The 24,877-nt window shown below is 44.9% G+C and overlaps 2 long non-coding RNA genes across 4 annotated transcripts, besides 2 other annotated features; one reads left to right on the forward strand and one right to left on the reverse strand.

Moving 5' to 3' along the window:
• Positions 1 to 18: 18 nt before the first annotated feature.
• LINC01747 (long intergenic non-protein coding RNA 1747) lies at positions 19 to 18,070 on the reverse strand. Of its 2 annotated transcripts, none has more exons than NR_146527.1 (3): positions 17,842 to 18,070; positions 17,471 to 17,630; positions 19 to 2,246 (listed from the first exon to the last, which is right to left on the reverse strand). It is a non-coding gene; the product is annotated as a long intergenic non-protein coding RNA 1747 (long non-coding RNA). The 2 variants fall into 2 exon arrangements; NR_146528.1 differs by lacking the exon at positions 19 to 2,246 and adding an exon at positions 16,388 to 16,619 and having other exon boundaries at positions 17,471 to 17,574.
• Positions 17,221 to 18,420: an enhancer, noted in NCBI's record as "MED14-independent group 3 enhancer chr20:22665133-22666332 (GRCh37/hg19 assembly coordinates)". NCBI's record gives its function as "activates an origin of replication core promoter dependent on BRD2, BRD4, P300/CBP and CDK7 cofactors, and independent of MED14, by STARR-seq in HCT116 cells {active_cell/tissue: HCT116}" and the evidence as "EXISTENCE:reporter gene assay evidence [ECO:0000049][PMID:35650434]".
• Positions 18,159 to 24,436, forward strand: LOC124904963 (uncharacterized). Of its 2 annotated transcripts, none has more exons than XR_007067728.1 (2): positions 18,159 to 18,613; positions 23,676 to 24,436. It is a non-coding gene; the product is annotated as an uncharacterized LOC124904963 (long non-coding RNA). The 2 variants fall into 2 exon arrangements; XR_007067729.1 differs by having other exon boundaries at positions 24,190 to 24,436.
• Positions 24,531 to 24,630: a silencer, noted in NCBI's record as "silent region_12718". NCBI's record gives its function as "represses an Ori minimal core promoter by ATAC-STARR-seq in GM12878 lymphoblastoid cells {active_cell/tissue: GM12878}" and the evidence as "EXISTENCE:reporter gene assay evidence [ECO:0000049][PMID:35858748]".

Below are 24,877 nucleotides of genomic sequence, written 5' to 3' on the forward strand. Positions count from 1 at the left end.
AAACCCCACTTCTTCATACCATTTGATTTCTTCATCTATTTTCTGCTACTATAACAGAATACCACAGACTAACTTACAAAAAACAGGAGTTTATTTGGCTCATGGTTCTGGAGGCTGGAAAGTCCAAGAGCATGGCATCAGCATCTGGTCAGGGTCTTGCCACTGCAGAAGGCTGTGCATGGCAAGGAAGTGTGCAAGACAGAGAGAAAATGGGGGCCAAATGTATCCTCTTATCAGGAGCCCACTCCTACGATAACTAACTCACTCCCATAATAACAGTATTAATCACCTTTTAAAGGTCCCACTTCTTAATATGGTCACAATGGCAATAAAATCTCAATGTGAGTTTTGGAAGGGACATTCAAACAATAGCAGGATCTGTTCTATCTCTAAACTCTTTGTACTGTCTTATGTTCTGGAAAAATATGTTAGAAAAATGTATAAATATGCACTTATCTATGACAGAGAAACATACTTAGAAATCAATGCTGCATTATTTACAAATCTTTCAGTGAATATGTCAAATGTGTTCAATTTAACTATAAGCTCCCAATGGGGAGACATTATGGTGTATTTTTCTTTTATAACTTGTAGATCTTAGCATTGTCCCAGGAGTATAATATATTATAAACTAGTGTTTTTGAATGAATTTGTTTATTGGTTTTACATGGGGAATGACTTTGGCATGCAATCACACCTCCTACCAAAACTCTGTATTAGCTGGATGTCACTGAATCCCCAAGTCTGGATGTGACATGATCCATGTGATGCTCTTATTATGGGGGGAAATCATTTATTGGTGACAATCTGTGGAAGGCTGACCACATTTTTAGCCTCCCTTGCAGTTAGATGTGATAATGTGACTGAGTTCCACCAATTAAATGTGGGCACAGGGATGTACACTACTTTCTAGGCCCGCTGCATAAAACTCTCTGATGCATCACCCTTTCTGTCTTCCTCTGTTGATTGGATTGGCACTCAGTGTGGCCATAGAATTTACATGCTGAAGATGACTATGCCACTGTGTGGAGTGTACTTTCTGTACCCAACCCCACCCTCCACCACCTATCTTAATGGCTCATTTTGGACTTTACATGAGTGAGAAATAAACTTCATCACAGTGTCTAGTACTTGTCTTAATAACTACATTGTGGAGAACCAAAGGGCACAAGAGAGAAATCCTGCCCTCCTTTCCCAGAAACTAATTTAGAATGTTCAAAATAACCTTTTACTTTACATGACCCTGTAGAAATCCATGGCTTTTGTTAGGGACAGGTGGACAGCATCTAGGATGTCAGAACTCTATACAGGATTATATATTTATAAGCTCTTACTCATCATATACTCCAACTTTCTCATTTTCAACCTTGAGGTGAAACTCTTATGTATATTTTTGTGGAAGCATTTTTAAATGACAGAAAGTAATTTATATATATATGCAAATTCCTTATAATTATGAAAATAATACTTTCAGAGAAACTTTACTTCCCAATTTTGTCAGCTGAGTTTCAATTTCTAATCATCCCCACCTCAATTCATTTGAACTAGCTGACTCTTCCATTCCCTTTGACTCAAATTCTCTGCAGGAACTGAAGGAGAAATCAGAGAGAGGATCTGAGTCTGAGAGTGAGTTTATATTAATGCCTATGGTCTTTGAAGCCCTAGCAAAATGTTCCTCCATAGATCCTACAGTTGATTTCAAAGCTTATGATCTGTTGGCTTTTTTTCAAGATTCGATGTTGCAGGTTTGTTTTTAGCTGGTGCTTGGGGACCTAAACCAGCCTCTAAAGGAATTAAATTACTAACTGATCCTTGAAGCATAGCAGAAACTTTGGACAAGATTGTCAATCAACAAACATGTCCTCTGCTCCTTAAATGAGTGAGGCAGAATCTGAGTCCTGAAGGAGCTTCAGAAGATGTCAGTCAAAGTGGTTCTGTGCTCAAGGAGGCTACAATTAAGTTGGAATATATAAAGGAGTTGTGAAGGTGTCATATCAGGCAGTTTTTGCTGGATAAGAGACCAATTCAAATATAAAGATTTAAAGTAAGAAAAATTACTTATCTGTCAGGTTCCTTGGTTCCTGGACAGCTTTTCTGCTCTGGATCAGCTCAGCTGAAACTGGGTTATCTTAGACAGTCTCACTCACATGCCTGGTGGTTAGCTTGATGTTATCTGAGCAATAGTCATGTGACTCTTTTCCTTCAGCAGGACAACCCAGTCTCATTTTCTCGGAGGCAGAGGTATCCTGAGCAACAAAAGAGGCCAAGATCCAATGAACAAGCACTTTTCAAATCTTCACTGTGCCATATTTTCTAATGTCTCCTTAGCCAAAATATTTGTCCAATCTGGATTTAAGAGGCATCAAATGGACTCCATCTCTTGATGGAATTTGAGTCAGATTGCAAACAGGTGTGAATATATGCTTGGGAGGAGCTTTGGGGCCACTTTTGCAAACCATTTATCAGATGTGCCAGGGTCTCAAGGAAGAGCTAGGGAGTCAAGGCAGGTCAGCAAGGAACATGAGCACTGCTTTGAATGGTGGTGAGATTTCAACAAAGAAGGATGGGTTGAAGTGAAAGGCAGCCCAAGCAGAGGCAGCGTGAGAGGAATGCTCTGGAGAAGAGAAAACTTTGAGCCTGGTAAAGGAATAACTACAGTGTCATTAGAGTGAAAGGATGGTATCAAGAACCCAGAGAAGCAAAGCAGAAAGATGGGAAAATAGAAAATAAACTACCTCAATGAAATTTCAACATCAGCATAGGCATGTACAACAAATGCCATGTGTCAATCTGCATTCTGTTTGATATATAAAGTGTGTAAAAAAAGATTTTTTCCAGGATGCATACAACCTAACAAGGTTGAACTATGAAGAAATAGATTGATAGACTAAATAGACTGATAATAACAAAAGGGACTGAATCGATAGTAAAACATCTTCCATCAAGGAAAAGCCCAGGACCTGATGGCTTCACTGTTGAATTCCACCAAACATTTAAAGAAGAATTAATATCAACTTTTAAAAACTAGGCCAAAAACTTGAACAAAAGGAAATTATTTCAAACCGATTTTGTAAGGCAAGCATTATCCTGATAGCAAAACAAGACAAGGATACAACAACAACAAAATAAATTATGAGCCAATACCCCTGAGGAAAATAGATGTAAAAATCCTCAACAAAATACTAGAAAACCAAATTCAATAGTGTGACACAAAGATCATTCAGCAGGATCAAGTGGGATTCATCCTAGGAATGCAAGGATAGTTCAACATACTCAGATCAATAAACATAATATATCACATTAACAGAATGAAGGATAAAAACCCTATGATTATTTCAATAAATGCAGAAAAAGCATTTGACAAAAATCAACATCCCCTTCATGATAAAAAACAAAAAGAAATTAGGTGCAGAAGGAATGTACCTCAACACAATAAAGGCTTTGCTATATATGAAAAACGCACAGCTAACATTATTCTGGAAGGCAAAATGTTGAAAGCTGTTTCTCTGAGATCAGGAACAAGACAAGGATGCCCACCTTTTCCACTTTTATTCAACAAAGTACTGAAAGTACTAGACAGAGCAAATAGGCAAGAGAAATAAATAGAAAGTATCCAAGTTAAAAAGAATAAAGTTAAATTGTTCCTGCTTATTGATGACATGAGATAATAGATAGAAAATCCTAAGCACCTCACTAAATAGCTGTTAGAACTAGTAAACCAATTCAGTAAAGTTGCAGATTCCAAAAATCAATGTACAAAAGTTAGTAGCATTTCTGTATGCTAATAATAAACTACCTGAAAAAGAAATATAGAAAACAATTCCATTTACAATAGCTACAAAAACACCTAGGAATAAATTTAAGAAAGAGGTGAAATGTCTCTGCAATAAAAACTATTAAACGTTGGTGAAACAAATTTAAGAAGACATAAATAAATGAAAAGGAGGTTCCATGTTCATGGATTAGAAGAATTAATATTGTTGAAATGTCTATACTACTAAACATATTTATAGATTTAATGCCATCTGTATCAAAGTATCAATGATATTCTTCACAGAAATACAAAAAACAATTATAAAATTAATATGAAATCACAAAAGACCCCCAATAGCCAAAGCAATCTTAAGCAAAAAGAACAAAACTGTAAGGCATCACACTACCTAACTTCAAAGTACACTATAAAGCTGTAATAACCAAATCAGCATGGTACTGGCACAAAATCAGACAGATGGACTAATGGAACACAAAAGAGAACACAGCAATAAATCTATACACTTACAGCCAACTAATTTTAGACAAAGATGCCCAAGAACACACAATGGGAAAAGGACAGTCTGTTCAATAAATAGTGTTGGTAAAACTGGGTGTCCAAAGAAGAAGAATGAAACTAGATTTGTATCTGTCATCATATATAAAACCAACAGAAATTAACTCAAGATGGATTAAAAACTTAAATGTAGGCTGGTGTGGTGGCTCAAGCCTGTAATCCCAGCACTTTGAGAGGCCAAGGCAGGCAGATCATGAGGTCAAGAGATCGAGACCATCCTGGCCAACATGGTGAAACCCCATCTTTGCTAAAAATACAAAAATTAGCTGAGTGTGGTGGTGTGCACTTGTAGTACCAGTTACTCAAGAGGCTGAGGCAGGAGAATCACTTAAACCCGGGAGGCAGAGGTTGCAGTGAGCTGAGATTGTGCCACTGCACTCCAGCCTGGTGACAGAGCAAGACTCCATCTGAAAACAAACAAACAAACAAATAAAAACTTAAATGTAAGACCTAGAACTATAACATTCCTAGAAGAAAGCATAGAGGAAATACTTTATGACACTGATCTGAGCAAAGATTTTTTGGGAGAAGACCAACACAGACAATAAAAGCAAATGTAGACAAATGAGATCACATCAAAATAAAAAGCTTCTGCACAGCAAAGGAAACAATCAACAGAGTGAAGATACAACCTACAGAATGGGAGAAAATACTGGCAAACTCTATATCTGACAAGAGGACAATATCTAAACTATATAAGAAACTCAAACAACTCAATAGCAAAAAGAAAAGAAAACAAATTAAAAAACCTAAATAACCCAATTTAAAGTAGAGCAAAATACCTGAATAAGCATTTCTCAAAGGAAGACATACACATGACCAACTGGTATATGAAAAAATGCTCAGCATCACTAATCATAGGGAAAATGTAAATTGAAAGCACAATCAGATATCATCTCACCCCAGTTAGAATAGCCACTATCAAAAAGACAGTAGATATAACTGCTCGTGAGGATGTGGAGAAAGGGATAACCCTTTTATGTTGCTGGTGGGAATGCAAATTAGCGCAGCCATAATATTAGTAGTTCTATTTTCAATTTTTTTTTAAGGAATCTCCTTATCTTTTACTATATACCCCACCCTCAAAGCCCTGGTAGATGGTGGCCTCCATATTTCTTCATTCACTCTGCAGGCAGCGGCAGAGCAAGAGAAGCAAATGCCAGCCTTTCAACTTTCTGGAAGCTTTCAGGAAAAATGTGATTCCCCAAGGACAGAGGCACTGGGCTCTATGCTTCCTGCATACTCCAGCATTAACTCATGAGATTATTTGTTTTTTTTTAGAAGAGGGGTTTCTAAGTCCACTGAGTCAGGAACCATTTTGAGAATCTGATGGAACAGTGGTTTTCCCTCCTAGAAAAATCAATATATGAACGGCATTTTGCATCTTATTTTAGGGGGTTTTGGGGCTTCTGTCATAATACATCCTTAGACCAGGACAGGAATCCCTGGTTTAGACATCAAATTGTTACCACTCATCAACTTCATGTATATGTGATAGAGTGAGTTTTTCCATGCTGCCATTGGCAGGAGGATTTTCCCTGCCCTTTTGGTTTAGTTTTGTTTCTCAAATACATAATACATTGACACGATCTCAGAAATCATAATCATATACCAGGTACTCTCAGAGAAGTGTCACTTCCTCTAGGTCAGTGAGGTTTGACAGAAGATGTAACGGTTTCCCCAAATCAAAATCTAGAACATTCCACTGCTGCAGAAAGTCCCTTACATGTGTGCCCAGCTAACCGCCTTCCTTGACCCTACCAGGGCAACCTCTGACTTGACTTTTATCAGGCTAGGTTAGTTTTGTCCAAATTTTACATAAATAGACTACCAGCTTAGGTTGACTGTAATCCACATCGATGTATTCAATTTTATTCCCATTGTTGGATGCTAATTGTCTTCAGTCATTTGATACCTTTGCACTAAACAGGGCAAAACTCACGGACAGCGGGGACCTGGTTTACTGCATCCACCAGCGCTGTGGGCAGAGCAGGTCCCTATTTGTTGACAAATGGGCAGATAAGAATGTGTAATTGAGCCAAGCCTTCAGGGGGAGCGCTGCAGGTTGCCTGTATCCTACCTAGAACTGAGCCGCCATTCTCACCTGTTCCTTTCCTGTGTACAGGAAGGATTACCCAACCCAGAGCAGAGTGAGGAATTAGCACATACACAAGGCTTGGGTGGGGGGTGCTGGAAAGGAAAGCGTGACACTATCAGGGAGGGAGGCAGGAGGGCAAGGGTTGAAAAACTAACTATTGGACACTATGCTCAGTATCCAGGCAATGGGATCATTTGTGCCTCAAACCTCAGCATCATCAACGATCAGGCCATGTCTTCCCCATGCAGGCATGGGCCTGCCTTCCCCATGCAGACCACATTACTGGGAGAAATGGAAACAAGAGACTCCCGACTTAGCTACTCCAGGTGCAGCAGAGGGCAGGGTGGGACCCAGGGCTTCACCAAATAAAGTTTGTATGACATCCTGAAGCTGAAGGGTGAGGTGCAGACACCAGCCCCTATCAATTCTGCATCACCCACAGTGCAGGTGGCCTGCTCCTCATCCCACTGTTGATAAAAGCTTAGAGAAACTTTTCTCTTTAGAGTTCAGAGAAAAGGTCTCCTTATCTTGACATTTATGGAGTGAGTTCCCTAATGAAAACTCTAGGTCACTGCTTAAATAAGTACAAACTTATAGCCAACTGGTTTCTTTATGCTGTCACCATCATATCATTTCATCCAGTAAATGTTTTGCTGTGTACCACTAAAATATAAGAAGTCATCTTAAAAAATATAATCATATCGACTGGATAAAGAAAATGTGGTACAAATACACCATGGAATACCATGCAGCCATAAAAAAAGAACAAAATCATGTCCTCTGCAGCAATTTGGATGCAGCTGGAGGCCCTTATCCTAAGTAAATTAAGGCAGGAACAGAAAGCCAGTAGTTCTCATTTCTAAGTGGAAACTAAACATTGGGTACTCATGGACATAAAGAAGCAACAATAGACACTGGGCACTGCTAGAGGTGAGGGGTAGGCAGGGGGTCAAAATTGAAAAAGCAACTATTAGATACCACGCTCAATATCCAGGAAATGGGCCGGGCGCGGTGGCTCACGCCTGTAATCCCAGCACTTTGGGAGGCCGAGGCGGGCGGATCACGAGGTCAGGAGATCGAGACCATCCTGGCTAACACGGTGAAACCCCGTCTCTACTAAAAATACAAAAAATTAGCCGGGCGTGGTGGTGGGCGCCTGTAATCCCAGCTACTCGGGAGGCTGAGGCAGGAGAATGGCATGAACCCAAGAGGCGGAGCTTGCAGTGAGCCGGGATAGCGCCACTGCAGTCCAGCTTGGGCGAAAGAGTGAGACTCCGTCTCAAAAAAAAAAAAAAAAAAAAAAAAAAAAAAAAAATATCCAGGAAATGGGATTATTTGTACCCCAACCTCAGCATCACGCAATATACCCAGGTAACAAATCTGCACATGTACCCCCTGAATGTAAAATAAAAGTTGAAAAAAATACAATCTTAATACTATTACTGTATGTAAAATAATGAGCAACAATTTCCTCAGTATCATCAAATATCCAGTTTATGTTTATATTTCCAATTGTCTCATAAATATCATAATCTTTTTTTAGCGGTTTCTTTAAATTAGGAGCTAAATTACCTATTGCAGTGAGTTGTTTTCAATCTCCTTTAACTGGCAGGTGTCCTCCCCAACTCTCTCCCTTTCTTTCTCTTTGCCTCACACTCCACTGCCCTGACCTCCTTTTCTCCCTATCTCCCCGTCTCCATTCTTTGCAACTCATTTATTCGAGAAGCCAGGTTGTGTTTCCTGCAGGATGGGTACCTTCCTAAACTCTGTGCAAGGAACAAATGAGCAAATGGGCCCCGGTCTTCTGAGCCTGCTTCAGCTGGTGACTTTCTGGGCACTTCCCCTTTTGAGGGTGAGCTAGAGAATAGACAAGCCCACCAAATGAAAATCCCTAGAGCTCTCCCGGGCTGCTGCTATCAAACCAGCAGGGCTGCGTGGATGACGCCTTGTGCTTGGGGTACGATGAGGCCACCCATCCCTGGCTTTCTCAGATGTGGCCGTGTATAGACGCCACTGAGCCATAGGTCTGGTCGGGCTTTTTTCTTTTTTTTTTTGGAGGGAGTCTCACTCTGTAGCCCAGGCTGGAGTGCAGTGGCCTGATCTGGGCTCACTGCATGCTCCGCCTCCCGGGTTCACGCCATTCTCCTGCCTCAGCCTCCCGAGTAGCTGGGACTACCGGCGCCCGCCACCATGCCCGGCTAATTTTTTGTATTTTTAGTAGAGACGGGGTTTCACCGTGTTAGCCAGGATGGTCTCGATCTCCTGACCTCGTGATCTGCCCTCCTTGGCCTCCCAAAGTGCTGGGATCACACGCGTGAGCCACCGCGCCCGGCGGGTCTGGCCATGCTTCTTAGAGTTATGTGGTCAGGAAGAAAGGGAGAGAACCTGTTTATTTGACATTTTTATACACCACTTCATTTGATAACTCAACAATGTTACATAAGAAATAAACAACATAAAACAAAACATAGGCGTATTGTCACACATGTGAAGTAACTAAAGATTCTGTCTCCCTTTTGCTGACTCTCCAGACAGCTGCAGAGGCTTGCACCTCCTACCTCCCTCCTCTCCTGATTTCTATTTGTGAGTCATGGGAAATAACTTACACCGAAGATAACCAGACATTCTGTCCAGGGAGTACTCACACAAGGGCGCAGTTTGATCCACCTTGTCCTGAAAGCTTTTATGCCAGATTTAGGTGAATTTGAAGTAAGCACCAGGCCAGGAGACTTGGACTAGCCCTAGGGAATGAACAATCTTCTTACAGATTTGAGGGCAGGTTAGAATAAATCTGCCCAGAGACAGAAACAGAAGCCACATGTGGGAGGAAATATCGATGGTCAACACTGACAGGGAAGAGGGGTCTACGGTTCAGTTCTCAAGACATGCAAATGAAAGTACGTGGAGGCATTTCATGGTAAATAAAGTTCTAGGGGTAGGATGGCAGGGTCATTTATGCATGGTTGTGCTATTTCATAACAGAACACAAGATGGTACACCATCTGAATGTAAGCAAATTATAAAACATGGCAAGTAAATTGTAGCATTTTGGCTTTAAAATACTATTCAGCTATTTTATATAATTTCAAAAGAACACTTTAACAAGGGAAAGGTGATTTCAAAATAGCATTAGAAGGCAGAACTAATGTTTATATGTACAAAATGTCACATACGACATATAAGCATGTATACATAAAGCTGGTATAAAACTAGAAGTCAAAACTTGTCTGTCGGGCCAATGAGCAAATACTTTCTATATTTAGGCTGACAGTGAGGAAGTAAAACAACATTTGTTGAACCCCTTCTTTGTGTCAGACAATTTTCCAGTGATGCCATTTAATCCCTGCAAACCTATGAGTAGGATTTTACAGTATTTGCTTTCATCCTACAGTGGTTATATATTCTTAATAATAATCACGATAATCATTATCATGGGTTGAATTATGTGCTCCCCAAATTCCTATGTTGATGTCCTAGCCCCTAGTACTTCAGAATGCTACCTTATGTGGCAATGGGTTATTTGCAGATGTAGTTAGTTAAGATGAGGCCCTATCAGAGTAATAGTAGTCATGTAATGCCACTATGTCCTTATAAACAGGGGAGGCTGGGACGCAGACACACACACACAGGGAGAGAGCCATGTGAACATGAGGGCAGAGACTGGGTGATGTGTCTGCAAAGCCAGCAATGGAAAGGTTGCCTGCAAACCACCCGGAGCTGCAGAGAGGCGTGGAACAGTCTTCCTCACAGTCCTCGGAAGGAACCAGCCCTGCCCACACCTTGATCTCAGACTTCCAGCATCGGCACGGTCAGGGTCTGTTGTTTTCGCCCCCAGGGTGTGGTACTTTGTTGCAGCAGCCCCAGGAAGTGAATGCAATAATGATCGCAGAATGGCAGTGAGCGTTTACTGAGGCACCTGCTGTTCTAAGTGCATTAAAGGCACACGGTGCAGGTCATCCTCATGGAGAGCCTGGGCAGAGGCCCTCTCACCCAGTCTAGGGATGTGGAACTCAGGTCTGGGGTGAATTCACTTCCCCTCCAACGTGCAGCTCATTGGTGGTAGAGCTACGATTTGAACGTGGCTTCAGAAACTTATAGGAACGTAAATGTTCTTCAGAGGCTTGGAAGGTGATGAGCTTATCCAGTGAGATATGGGTTTAGAAGCATCCCCTGCTGCTGGTCCTGTGCTCCTCCCTGGCTGGGTTTCTCAGAAAGGGCTGACCCATGAAAACTGAGGGCTGCCCATGTGGAGCTGGGGTTTTGGTTCTGATCCATTAAGCCCAGGGCTTTACTGGGTCCCAACACTACCCACAATCCCCGTCCCCTTGATTTTAATGAAACTCTTAGGCCGATCCACCCCGAGGAGAGTGGGCCACCACAGACAGGCAGAGTCTGAGTAGGGCAGTCAGTGGAGACAGGTTTGTCTGCAGTGACGCTGTCAAGGCTCCTTTGGATTCTTCTGACTGCCGGCGTCGCCTCCCCAGGCATCACCGAGCCTTTTCTTGCTACACTCGGCTCTGTGACTCTGCTTCAGAGGATAGCCCTTAGGCTGCTGGAGCTGCTGACAATATAGGGACAAAGTGCAGATCATTGGTTTAGTGTCTGTTACTTTTGTTTAGCCACAGTCCCATGTCTAGACAATGTCCAGGACAGTGGATTTGTCAGAGAAGGAGAGAGGGTCCGGGCTGCCACCTCACTGCCCCTTGGTGTATTTATCAATGCTAAAATCGGGAGCATTTCCCTGTCCCTCTGGACAGGGAAAGGAAGGGAGACCACCAACCGACCAGCCTCTCCGGGCCTGATGGGAGGAAGGTGTAGGGAGCTGTGGTGCCAAGTGGCCGGCCCTGTTCTGTGTGGCCCGCATAAGAAGGAGCTGCAGTCCTATCACCTCTCCTAAACTTCTTCTTGCTCACCTCAACCTCCTTAAAGCCTCCAGGGGCTACCACTGTAAAATGGGTAAAGCCTGGGCTCCTTAGCTTTATCCTCAGGGAACTCCGTAATCTCCATGCCTTTTAATCCTTAGTTCCCACTGTTCTGTTTTCCATACCCTGTTTTCCCACTGTTTCCAGTTTCCACCCTACATAGCCCCTCCATCAGGCTTTTGCTTATTCAACAGCCTCTGGTATTGAAATTATCAGGAATAATGTATCAGTTAGCTATAGCTGCATAACAAAACATCCTCATATCAATTGCATAATCCAGCAGTCATTTGCTGTTGCTCATGTGCCTGTGTGTTCTCTGGGTTCAGCTGGTCAGGGCTGGGCTTTGCCAGGCAGTTTTGCTCCAGGCTGCCTTGGCCCAGGTAGTTTTGCTCTCAGTGCTAGTCTGTGGGTGGGCAAGGAGGGCTCGACTCCACCATGCTTGTTTTGAGCCAAGGCTGCAGCACAGTAGTGACCCAGGGGGACTTCTCCTCATGTCATTGGCAGAAAAATAAGAGGGAACGTGGAAACACACAAGGCTTCTTGATTCCTAGGCTCAAAACCGGAAAACAATCCCTTCTTCTAGAGGCTATTGGTGAAACAAAGTTGAATGCTCCAGCCCAAAGTAAAGGGGCAAGAAAATAGCTCACACCCACCTTACCTTGGAGAGGGTGTGGATGCAGGAGAGATGAAGATTTACGGCAAATAATGCCTCCTACCACAAGAGGTGACAATAGCAAATAGCACAGTAGTAGCAGAGACAATCACACGTGCTGTAAAGTACTTACCATGTGTTAGCCCCAAATTATAGGATTATCAGCAGTGTTGATTCTCACTGTTGCCCTGTAGGAGACCACCCGAGGCTTCTAATGGTTCCTAACATCCCCTAAGACCGCACAGTTTTTAATGACAGAATCTTGAACTGAGCTGAAGATTTGTCTTTGTGGATCTGAGCCCAGAATTTGGAAGCTGCAGTTTGACTCCAAAGTCCAATTCATGTCAAAATCTTACCTCTCCTTCAAAGTCTCCCTCAAATGTTGGCTTCCTCATGAGCCATTTCTCAATTTAGTACAGGTTGAATTTGCAGATCTAAAAATTTGATCTCTGAAATGCTCCTTATTGAAGGCCAACATGATGCCTAAAGAAAGTGCTCACTGGATTTGGGATTTTGGAGTTTGGATTTTGGGATTCGCAACACACAACCAGTAAGTATATTCCAAAATGTGAAATCTGAAACACTTCTGGTGCCAAGTATTTCAGATAAGGGATACTCTGTCTGAATTATACTATGCCTGCACACTCGATTAGTGAGATTGTGGATATAAATCTTTGCTGTATTCTGCCACTGTTGGATATTTTAATGGAGTTTGGTCTAATAGAACTTCACAACAGGCATGTGTAATAAACCCAGCTCTACACACACAAACACAGTACTGAAAGACCAAGAGGGATTCCATTGCTTTTCACATCTGATGTTATTTGTTAAACGAAGAAGTCCTTTTCTTGAGAACAGAACATGTTAATGATTTGTATTGTCCCAAGCTTGGAAGTAAAAACCTTGGAATTGCTAAGCATGAATGTGCTTATCTAGGGTCACTGAGCAACCATCAGAAGCCCCAAACAGTGTTGACATTCGGCAAAGGCTGGGTATCCCAGACTCGGTCACCTGAAATGGAAAATACTTTCTCACCAGCAAAAGTATAGATACCTTTTGGTTAAACGAGATTGAAGTCACACCTTTGTGAGAGGAATAGCACAGCCAAAATTTAGGGGGCCCACCTGGTGATTCTGAACATTTTATTTGGACAAGTTGCATACTTTTTAAACGCAGGCTCTTGAAAAATTCCTTTAGAAATGTCAAGGTGACTGGTGTATTAAAAAAGTGAGCCAGAGCAAACAAAGGTGACATTCTTTTAATTCTTTCCCTGCTGGGTCATTTTCTCCTTGCTGTCATCTCTGCGTACGGCCATCGTCCATAATGGACCCTCGACCTGCTCAGAGGTTCACACTTGAGGGAAATTGCAAAGTAGAGGAAATTTTGACCCAGAGGCCTCTTCACCTCTTCCCACCAAAGCTCCAGCAGAGGCTCAAACTTAAAGCTAGGAAGTGAGAGAACCAAATCATGCTGGCAAATTTTCTCTGCTACATCTTCCAAAAACATGGTGATAAGGACAGGAGTCACCAAAGGTGTTGTTCCCGGCATCTTTCATCATCCACTGGGGAAGAGGCTCCTGCTCGGGGACCCTGAGCTGCCTCTAATTATCGGTCACACTGCCAGCTCTGTCTCTCCCCATGACCCATGACACTGCCAGCTTTGCAATTTTGTTTTCTGAATAAGAAGCTTCACATTTAGCTTTTAGATTTGAAATCTGGTTTGGGATTTTTTTTTTTTTTAATGAGCATGCCTGTGCATCATATCAGTAAAGCTGATGATATGAGTGTATTCTATCAGACTGAATCATATGTTAATACATTTGCCACTATGTTTGACATACAGAAATAATTCCATATTGTTTTACCCATAGAATTGCTTGCTTCCATGACCCCAAAGATGAATACAAACACACAAAAAAACCCCAAAAGTTACAGATATAAGTGAATTTTGAAAAATAATATACTTTCTGGACAAATTAATACCTAATTTCTACACACTAAATATTATTTCCCACTCACATAACAAAGTCAGCAAACTGTTTCTTTGGTAAACAATTGGCTCTGTCGATGTTATAAAATCATTTTTAGGAAAAAGACTAACATGAAACAATGGTAGAAAATCAGAATGCAAACTAGTCAACATTCCTTGAACTATGAACGTGAAGTAAAAATTTTACAAGTGGCAACCTAAGCATTTAAGAAAAAACAGTTACTGCTTAAATAAGAAACCTGTTGCATGGAAAAGCCACCTTCCTCTGTACTTATAGGACAAAATGTGTTGTACTCTTGGGGATCCTCAAGTTCAAATGAGAATCTCAACAATTTCCATTTCCATTTTCCTGAAGACTTGGCACACGCTGGCTAGCAAGGCTGCCCAACAGCAGAGCTGCGCAGCTGCAAAGGCCTTTACGTCTTTGTCACCAAGTTGGCCAGGAGCTGCCTATGTGGGAAGTCTTATAATGCATCAACAAGAGGGAAGCAGCAAGAACTGAATCTCACTGGCTCATCAATTCCCAAGTGGCTGGCAGCAGCTAAGATACTACCCTTTTTCTGAGCCAATAGCTTTCTCAGGCTGTATATGTGCCACCTTGCAACTGGCCTCTTGCAACACAGAGAATATGAAAGAAAATTTTTATCATTCTCTGGTAGTCTTTTGCTTTCTGGAGTACTCTGTTCTGTAATGCACAATTAGAAGTGATTTCTCCATCAACATAATGAAACTGTAGTTAAAATGAGTTCACTATTTTCAGGAAAATTACTGAAAATGATGATGATGATGTCACCAAAGCTGGTCCATCAGGAAAGCATGCAGCCAAGACATCTTTCTACTATTCAACATGGACAATTTAGTTTCACCCAAAACGCCATCTATCATGTTAAACTAATGCTGATAATTTGAATTTGTTGGTTTTATAGGGTTTAATAAGTGTGCAAAGTTGTATGTTGCTCTTGGTTAAGAGCTACATTCACTAGGTGATTCTTCCTGGAGTTGTACAGGTTTATGAGATATGTTGATAATTCCCTGATGTCTTTTTCCTTACAAGCAGTTGATACTTTCTCAGGTTTGGTGAGGACCCATGTAGAATTACAAGAGAGAATCCACCTGTGGCTACCCACTGCTGAGTCTTAACACTGCAATTGGCTGGATTGGGGCAATTCATACAACTTGTCACAGAAGCAGAACCAGGATTCTTCCCTAGCAGTAAATAGACAGGGACCGTGTGGGGCACCAGAAGCAGCTATGCAGGCACTCTAGACAGACCTTCCCATCTCTGCACAGGGCAAAGTCGGTCCCAGCCAGCAGCTGCCTCCCCGGGCATGCACCAGCACATGCAGTGCAAGCTTCTGCAGGTTGACTTAGTGTGATGTGAGAAAGTATCATTCACATGTTTCATGTCGTGTACTTTCAGAGTTGGGCAGAGAAACCGTGTCCCCTGTGTGGACTGCCTGCAGGCTCTCTGGGACAGACCCAGAGGTAAAAAGCCAGCACATTCCCCGTGTGCCTGCCTAGGCTCTGTTTCCCAGACACTCATTAGAGCCTGACACATTCTGACATATTCCACTTAGAAACACCTTATCAATAAAAACCAAATGCTTTTCGTCTTTGGCCACTTAGGAATCCCACACTGGGGACACAGTCCACGTTTAGTGGGCAATGCTTTTGGCCAGATGAGGCGCAACTAAAACTTCAGTACAAGTTTGGGGTAAAGTGCTGCATTAATTCAGGGACTGGCAAACTGTGGCCAGGAGGCCAAATCTAGGCCACTGCCTGCCTTTAATAAATAAAGGTTTATTGGTACACAGCCACTCCCATTTGTTTTCATTTTGTCCATTACTGCTTTTGTGCTACAATGACAGAGTTGAGTAGTTATGACAGAGACCATATGGCCTGCAGAGCCTAAACTATTTATTCTCTGGCCTTTTACAGAAAAAGTTTGCCAACCCCTGCATAGGAATAAAAGGAAAATAGCCCCTTTCAAGGAACCCCTGGAAGGGTCCGGACACAATGCCGGCTCATGGTTGTTTTCCATTCCTGCTCTGACTCCCAGGCTGCAATGCAGTCAAAGCCCTTTGAGCTCCCCTTGCTAAATAACTTTAACCTTTGTGAAACAAGCAGCCATCCTTCTTTTGCAGAAGGAATGACAACGATCATTTTTCCTTGCAGGTTATGGGGTGGTTAGCCATGTGGGCAATGGGTCTAGACAGCCAGGTTTGAATCCCTCCTCACCTTTTGAGCCCTCTGTGCCTTGGTTTACCTTTATGTAAGATGAGGATAAGAAAAGCGTGTGTCCTCTAAGGCTTTTATGAAAATGAAATGAGATACTAAGAACAAAGTGTTTGTTTTAACTTGGACTGCCTCATCCTACACGATCAATAGAGACAGGGATTCTGGAGTTAGAGGATATCTTGAGAGGGCATCATCACTGCTGTCTTTCTGAGGAGTAAACTGAGGTCCAGTGAGGAAAAGTGACTCTGCTCCCACCCTCCATAGATATTGAGGCAGGTTTAGGAGGCAGAGGCTCCAATGGTAACGGCTGCTAATATTTTTTGAGCTCCTCTGGGTGAAGGGCCTGGGCTCCACACTTGACTTGTCATGTCTCATTGAGCGTTCGTGGCTGCCCTGTGAAATAAGCATTTTGTTTACCCCGACTTTACAGACAGGGAAGAAGCGATGGTGCTGGAACTCACATCTGCCCAAGGTGAGCTTGCAGGAGCTCACGGCCAAGCCCTGGCTGCCTCTCCACGCAGCGGCACTCATGAACACACTTGGGAGCAATACAACATTTTGGGTTCCAGGGATAGAAGGGGTCAGGGGAATTCAACTAGAAAATGCCTCAAACACCAAATTCTCCATCTGGGTAAAACTGGAACCTTTCTGGCTACCCCTCTTCTCCTGTGTACAGCATTGCAATGGGTCCATCTAGTGGTCAAAGGCAAGAATGTCCACCGGTCGGGCCTCTGAAAAGCAACTGAGCCAACAAGCCCTCCCATCTCGGCCAATCTCAGCAGGCCAAGGGACAGGCAGCCTGGCCAGACGTCGGCCTTAAGGAGGACCTGGCAAGGGACGTGTCCATGGATGTGCAAAGGAAGGGGGACACTGGCAGTGGCCACCTCTCCCTCCTCATCTTTTCAGAGCCCTGTACCCCAGTTCCACAGGAAGCAACATTGCCCCTCAGAGGACATTTTACAGTGTCTGGGGACATTTCTGGTTGTCACAACTGGGGGATCTTTCTGGTGTCTAGTGGGTAGAGGCCAGGAATGCTTCTTACCACTCTACAGTGATAGGGCAGCCCCCCCACGGCAAAGAGTGAGCCTCAAATGCCAACAGCGCCACACAGCACTGGAAACCCTGAGGTGTCCTCCTTCCAAATGGAACCGGGCAGGCCTGGGGATTCCACGAGGCTGTGCGTGCTCAGAACCCTTGCATGTGCATTCCTGCCTAGACCGCTCTCCCCATCCCCACTCTCTTACCTCATCCTCTTCCTTCACCTCTCAGCCCACTTGTCTCCTGTTCGGGGGAGCTCATCTGCTCATGTCTGCCTCTTTGTCTGGGTTTTATCTCTCCACATGCAGGCCTGAGACAAGGATTTGGAGGCAAGCAGTTTATTTGAGAGAGGATTCCAGGAAGCATCTGTAAGAGAGTGAGGAAGAGGGACCGGAAGTGTGGGGGTGGAAGCATTGAAGGGTGAGTTGATGGGCAGCCATTGCTGTGAGCAGCCGAGGTGTGGTCTCTGAAGGAGGGGGGCGGGGGCATGAGGACTCAGAACTGTCCCCTCCAGGAGAATGAAGCCAAAGTGTTTATCCTTCAGCTCCCTGGCTGTTCCTGCACACTAGCCACTTACATTGCAGCTACCTGTGCACTGATAAAGGAACTGATGTCTGTCCGGTCTGCACACATCTCTCCATTGTGAAGGGCATTCAAGTTTGCCCTCTCTCACCCTGGTCCTCAGAAGCTAATGGGTCACTTTCCCAAATTGAAGCTCCAGAGACCAGGAACAGAGGACTGGTATAGTTGATGAGTCTACACAACAGGAGGCTGGCCCCACCTAGTGCAAGGATTTGGGAATTGTGACATCACCCTGGAGGCAATGCTAGCTCCCCCATGATCCACGGCCACATTGTTAGGGCTATGGAAACCTGACGGTTTGAGGGCAGACCACCAAGAGAATTGTTACATCACATCCCCAGCTAGACCAGGCTTAGTTTGCTTAGTAAGAAAGGCAATATTTTTGTTGAATTTCACATTTTCTACCAAGTAACGAATTAACCTTTTTGAAATCGCAGAGGAGATCACAGCAGGAAATGAAGCCATATCCTGTACACGCTGGCTACCACATATGAACCATCAGAGAGATGGAGGGCAATGTCTGGAAGAAGGACGGGAAGAGGGAATATAAGAACATTCAGTATTAATGGATTCCAAACTCCGTGTGATAACCAGCCGGTCCTGGACCAGTTTATCATCGCAGTGTGGACTGATTCTCTTTTGCAGGAAGTTAGTTTTGACTTCACCAGCTGGATTGGAGGGCACCTGTGGCATACCTTGTCCTATTGCTGTGGGGGACTTCGTCCAGCTTTTAGACATGCAAGACTAAATGTGAATACCATCTATACGTAAGTGGCTGAGAAAATGCTGTGGAGAAGCTTACAGCTCTCCATCATCAGCGATATAAGCACACTTTGATTAATCAGGTGAACTGCATACAATCAGGTAGTCTTGCTGAGGATGAAGAACTTTATATGGATTTGGGGTAATAGGACTAAAGTCCTTAGCATCACTTGTTTGGATTTTTCTCGTTTCATGAGTAGTTGATAATTCAGCAAAGGTTTCTTAAGCACCTAATCTGACCATTGCACAGAGGGCTAACTGCGGGGAATACAGCAGAAATGACATCTAAATGGCACATAGGGTACCACTCCCCAGCTGTGCCCATGCGCTGCAGCGAAGGGAACTACATTTCCCGGGAGGCCTTGCGCTCTCGCTTCCTGGTAGATTCAGCCAATGGGAGGCACTGGCCGGAGATTGGCTGCTGGGAGGAGGAGAGAAGCCTGGATGTGCCAGCCTCTTCTTCCTGTTTCTCATGGCTTCATCCATGATTTTAGCTCCAGCACAAGGCAGTCTCTCTCTGTGCTCCCATTGTGCCTGGCTGGGAGGGCACAGAGACCTTGGGCTCAGAGAGCCCCACATGCATTCTCCTTTTGCCCCCCTGGCCTAGGGGTGAGATCAGTTTCCTGGTGTTGCTCATATCTGGATTTTGTCTCTACTTCTTGTTTGACTCCTCAACTCTTCATTCACCTGTGCCACAAACCCCCATATTAAGTTCTCTCTGCTTGAAATACCTAGTGTAGTTTCCGGGATTTTGGACATCTTGCCTACTCCTTCAAACATATTTCATATCCCTTTCCCTCCTGCATGAGGCGTCCCACTCCCTGGCATCCTTCTTGATGTTCTTTTTTTTTTTTTTTTGAGACAGAGTCTCACTCTGTCGCCCAGGCTGGAGTGCAGTGGTGCCATCTCGGTTCACTGCAAGCTCCACCTCCCAGGTTCACGTCATTCTCCTGCCTCAGCCTCTTGAGTAGCTGGGACTACAGGCGCCCACCACTGTGCCTGGCTAATTTTTTGTATTTTTAGTAGAGATGGGGTTTCACTGTGGTCTCGATCTCCTGACCTCGTGATACACCCGCCTTGGCCTCCCAAAGTGCTGGATTACAGGTGTGAGTCACCACGCCCGGCCACACGTCCTTCATGTTCTAAGACTCCCACCTCTTTCTTACCCCAGGGCCTTGGCACTTGCTTTCCTTCTGCTTTAAATATTCCTTCCCTGGAGCTCCATGTGGCTGCCACTTTCTCATCCCTCAAACTTTCTGTTGCCCTCTCAGGTAACATGGGAACAAAAAGCAAATGTTACTTTATCAGAGGCTCTCATTGAAAATCATAGCTAATGCACCCACTCACCCCACCCTCACTGCAATTTACTTTACTTTCTATCATGTTGTCCTGTTTATTTGTTTCACATCGTGTATCCCAATCTGCAATGATTTCCTTTACTTGTTTGCATAGTTTGAACTCACGACAAGGTCAAACGTAAGGTGGTTTTAAAATAATGTGTTTCTTTATCATTTTTGGAGCTAAATTTTGGGCAAGGGGACATGGGTGTTAGAGTTTGTGAATTCATCTTCTTGCAGTGGATGTGCCCTCGCTCACTGTTACTCATCCTCCTGAATGGGGTCAGGGCCTGTTTTAAATGGTAGGTGGCATTTCTCTGCTGTTAAGCATGTGATTTTCTCTGCATCAGAATCCTGGGCAGTCACTGTCTGGGTGGCAGTGGGCACCCTCTTCTGTCAGTGCTTCAAGGGTGACAAGCATCTCATTGCAAAACAGACATGATTCTTTTCACTTTATGACATGTTGATCAAACCCCTCAGATAAATTGTTGGTGCCCCATCCTGTATCCCCTCAGCCTACCTGTGTTCATCTTCAGCCATGAGGGGCAGATTGCTGTAAATTGACAACTTCCCATTCAAGCCCTTGTCTCTGCCTGAGGGCTTCCCCATCACAGGAGCCTGCTTCACTGTGAATGTACTTACCTAGAAAGGGGAGCACAGGCAAGACCCCCAGCCCAGAGAATTGAGTTTGGATGCTCACACGGGTAACCTGCCCTTGACGCCTCCATTATCTTTTTCCTTGCCTCCTCCATTCACTTCCCTACTCCCTCATTTGTGCTTCCTGGGACCACCTTCCACATAAGCTGCCTGCACCCAAGCCCTTGTCTCTGGATCCACTTTGGGAGGATCCACACCAAGCAGAACTCAATTCCCTTTTTCTTAGCAGCACTTCCTCTTTGTGCCACATCAAGATCCACTTCTGTGGAAAAAGCCTGTGTGGGCATGGGGGCTTAGGCCTGCCAAAGTCTAAGAAACCACGTGGACCACACCTGGGAATTGTTCCCCTGGGGAGTTGGAGACGTGGGCATTTTGTCCTCTACTCGTGTCCCTACCCATGTCCACCTCTAGCCCTTCCTGCCCTCTTGGCCATTTACCTTCCCTGTTACCCTTTGCTCACCGTCTTCCTCACCAGAATGGAGAACTGGCCCCTGGCAAGCTCGCCCCATGGCTGCACCTTTAAAGTTGTCTTCTCCAAGCGTGTGCTGGGCTGTCAGCAGCGTCACCCAGGAGCTGGAAGTGCAAATGCTCAGGTCCTTCCCCAGACCTGCTAAATCAGAGACTCAGAGGGTGGGCTCCACCCTTGTGTGCCCACAGCCCTCCAGGGGACTCCAGGGCTTGCTGCAGCCCTAGAAGCACTGCTCTAAAGCCATACTAATTAGCATTAGATGTATAGTTCACAACAGCTTGTTCTGCTTCTAACCACTGGTCGGAGGGGTTGGGGCCTGATTATGTAACAGCATATGATGACTCATTAATGATGAGAGATGTTCTCGTGTTTACCAATATCTTCATATCAGTTTGCCAAAGTAATTCTTGATACCACACCCAGATGCTGGGAAGAACAGGGGCTTTGGGAACTGAAGCCCTCACATTGACCTCCAGCCCTGTCAGTGCCCCATGCATCCCTGGGGTACCTTTCCCCATCTGTGCATGCTGTTCCTGGGTGCCGCTATGACCCCCACAGCCAGTGCCAGCTTCTCTCTGTGAGCAGCTGTCCCAAGGCTGCTGGAGCCCTTGTGCTCACCCTGCTTGCATGGGGGCCTGAGACAGTCCTTACCCAGTGATGGGTGGATGCAAGGGACGCAAGACATCCCTCAGGTTCAATGATTCAAGAGAACTCATAGGAACCAGAAAGGTCACCAGATTCACGATTACCTCTTACTACACATGGTTCCAACACTACACAGCAAGTCGAAGTCAGCAGTGGGAAGATGCACCTAGGGTGGGTCCCAGGAGAGCTCTAGCTGTGGTGCTCCAGTGTCCTCTCCTAGTGGGGCTCTGCAGCAGTGCTTAGTTCTCCCAGTAATGACATGGGGCAGCATGCATGGAATATTGCTGACCAGGGACACTGACCTGAGCCTTGGCGTCCAGGGTTTTTATTGAAGGCTTGGTCACGTAAACATGATGGACAATCTACATGGCTGACCTGGTCTCCAGCCCCTTGACAGATCAAGCTGATACAAGACCTCCACTGTGAATCCTATCCTTAGCATCAACTACCTGGTGTGGCCTAAGGCCTCGGTAAACAGACACTTATCAGACAGGACATTAGAGATTAAAGGACTTAGAGGCTGCCTTCCAGGAGCTGTGCCAGGGCCACACCTTTCTTTGGGCAAGGTTAACCCTTTACTACTTGCAGAATATGAATATTCCAGCTCCTTCATCGCCAGTGCGGCCTCTCTGGGGTGTGACCAGCCCTGACTCTGTCTCAGAACTCCCTAGCAGGAGGAAGCCAGAAGCACCCACGTGGTTCCTGGCTCACTTTTTTCACTCCCCAGTCCCACCTTTCCACTGTCTTGCCTCTTTTTGTTGTTGTTGTTCTGGGAACACTTTCTAATAAATCTTCACACAAAGACTTGTTTCAGATTCTGCTTCCAGGGATCCTAAAATAGGACACTGTAAGAATTTACAAAGTGATACATTTCCTGTATTTCATTAACCTGCTTATGTGAATTACTGTTATTTTCAAACCTCAGAAATTAGCTGCAGCTGCTCTTAAGATTAAATCTGGAGAAGCCAAGATAGAACTTGGAGTTGAGTCTCGCAGTGGCAACCGGGTCTAAGGAAGGGTCACCTGGCTAGAGCTGGAGTTGACACCCAGCCGGTCCAGGAGGGGCCGCTCCCACCAGGGACTCCAATCAGAGGTGAAGGGTCAGGGTGAGGAGAGAAATGCTCTCACTTCCCTCTTCCTCTCACCTCCATCTCTTGACATCACTTCCCGTTGGATGAACCTAAATGGAAGCCAGTAGGCAAGAGAGCCTGGAAAACAGCGTTTGCAGGGGGCGGTTGTGAAATGGATCTAAAGGCAAACAACACGTGATGGACACATGTTTCGTAACCACTGATAGAGAAAAAGGCAATAGAAAAACATTGATATTAACTTAGTAGCACTTTGGATAATTAAAGCTAAAACAAAATCAGAAGCCAGAAGAGCTGTATATACTTACAAACAACAGTGCAAATGTGTGTGCAGCACCTGTTGGGAGGCCCTGGCATTAATTCTAGGTCCCTCCATCCTTCTCTAGGGGTGAGCAGCCAACAGGGTGGTGCTTTCTCTACTAGAAGAGTCAACAGCCACAACCCCTCACCCCAACAGCTTCAAATGACATGCCGAGAACAGCACGTAGAATCCCCTTATGTTTACATGGTGTTGGTGCCCTTTGAAAATCTGATTAGCTCTTTTAATTACCATGGACCCTTTCAGCACTTAGCTGGTAAATAGCTAACTCTAATTAATAACTCTCTGTATGCTTGGGAAATATCACTTATTTTACTGTCTGTCCTTCTGGTGCCAGTGGCTGCCAGAGCTCAGCACCTGGGAGTGACCCCACTTCACTGTCCCCTGACCTTCCACTGTTGCTCTGCCTCATTCCCCTAGACCCTGAAGCTTCTCCACCTGAGGGGAACGGGATCAACTGTGCAAACTGCCCAGAAAGCAGGCATGCCAGGGAGCACTTCCTGGACTGTCTGTAGTGAGCTCTGTGGACAATGGGTGTGTTTTTCTCTTTAGGGCTATAGATAAACCACCTGACGGCCAAGCTGTCTGAGCGCTATGTGGTTCCACCATACGGAAGCATCTGAAGAGCTGGCGAAAAAGCTGCCAGCACCCTAGGGGGTAGAGTTCGCGTCTCTGACTGCTGTCCCATCCCTGCTCCCAGAGAAGTGCCTGGCATGTAGCAGGGCTGCAGTGTGTCTTTGTGGATGGAACAAGCCCTGATATTTGGGCCAAGCAACCAAATGCCAGGCTGGTGGTCCCACATAAGTGTGGTGGAGTGGGTCTGCCTAGCCACCCACCAGCTGTTAAGGAGGAAGCGGTGGTGCCTGTGGTCCATAGAGCCTGAAGCCTTAGTTGGTGGTTGATCTGCTTTCTGGGAGGATCAGAAATTCCCAAACTTTAATCAAGTAGCGTTCCAGATGAGTCCAGCGACTCTGCACAAAAAAACTGGAAGCCCTCGAAGGAGACCTAAGTTCAGATCAGGGCTCACACGTTTTCTGGCTACTGGATGTGTTTTTCTATTGCACAGATTTGCAGGCGCTTTAAATGAGAATGTGTGCCCCGGCACTTACTAAGCACATCAGCGAAAGCTTCACAGCGCACCATCAGCCAGGCCTGCTGCTGCTAGACCCTCTGCCAGACACTGAGAAGGAAGACGTTTGTGCCCTAGGTCAAAGGCAAACCCTGGGTCCTAGGGAATGTCATTGAGGTTTGCTTAAGTAAAATGTTTTCATTTAGGTTATCTATGCCAATAAAATGATGCAAAATTCATAAAAGCAGGTGGAAGCAAAATCGTGTCTGAATGTAGGACCCTCTTCTAGTTCCCTTTTGAAGCAGCCGCTTAGGCCGTCTGCAATTAAGCCGATTTGACAGTAGAGGGCAGCAGAGGGTGCCGTTTCAGGGTTCATTCGGCCGCACAGGCACAAGCTCCCTACCGGCTCGGCCTCAGCCGGAGGCCCTGGCAGAGCTAACAATGGCCGGCTCCGCCAAGGCGCGAGCAATGAGCTGGATAAAGTCTCAAGCGACCCCCAGCTCAGGCCTGATGGAGAAGCTGGTTATGTGCACAGCCTCTAACTCTGACCAACAGCAGGTTAGGTCAGAGGCAGGACTAAGGGGAGACACATTCCCGGTGTTTCTTTTCCTTGTCGGCATGTCCAGGGTGTGGGGCAGCTGCCGGATAACCCCAATTGGGGTTATCGTGGTGTTCAGGCTTCCCT

This window comes from Homo sapiens, chromosome 20 (assembly GCF_000001405.40).
Source record: "Homo sapiens chromosome 20, GRCh38.p14 Primary Assembly".
In the NCBI taxonomy this organism is placed as follows: domain Eukaryota; kingdom Metazoa; phylum Chordata; class Mammalia; order Primates; family Hominidae; genus Homo; species Homo sapiens.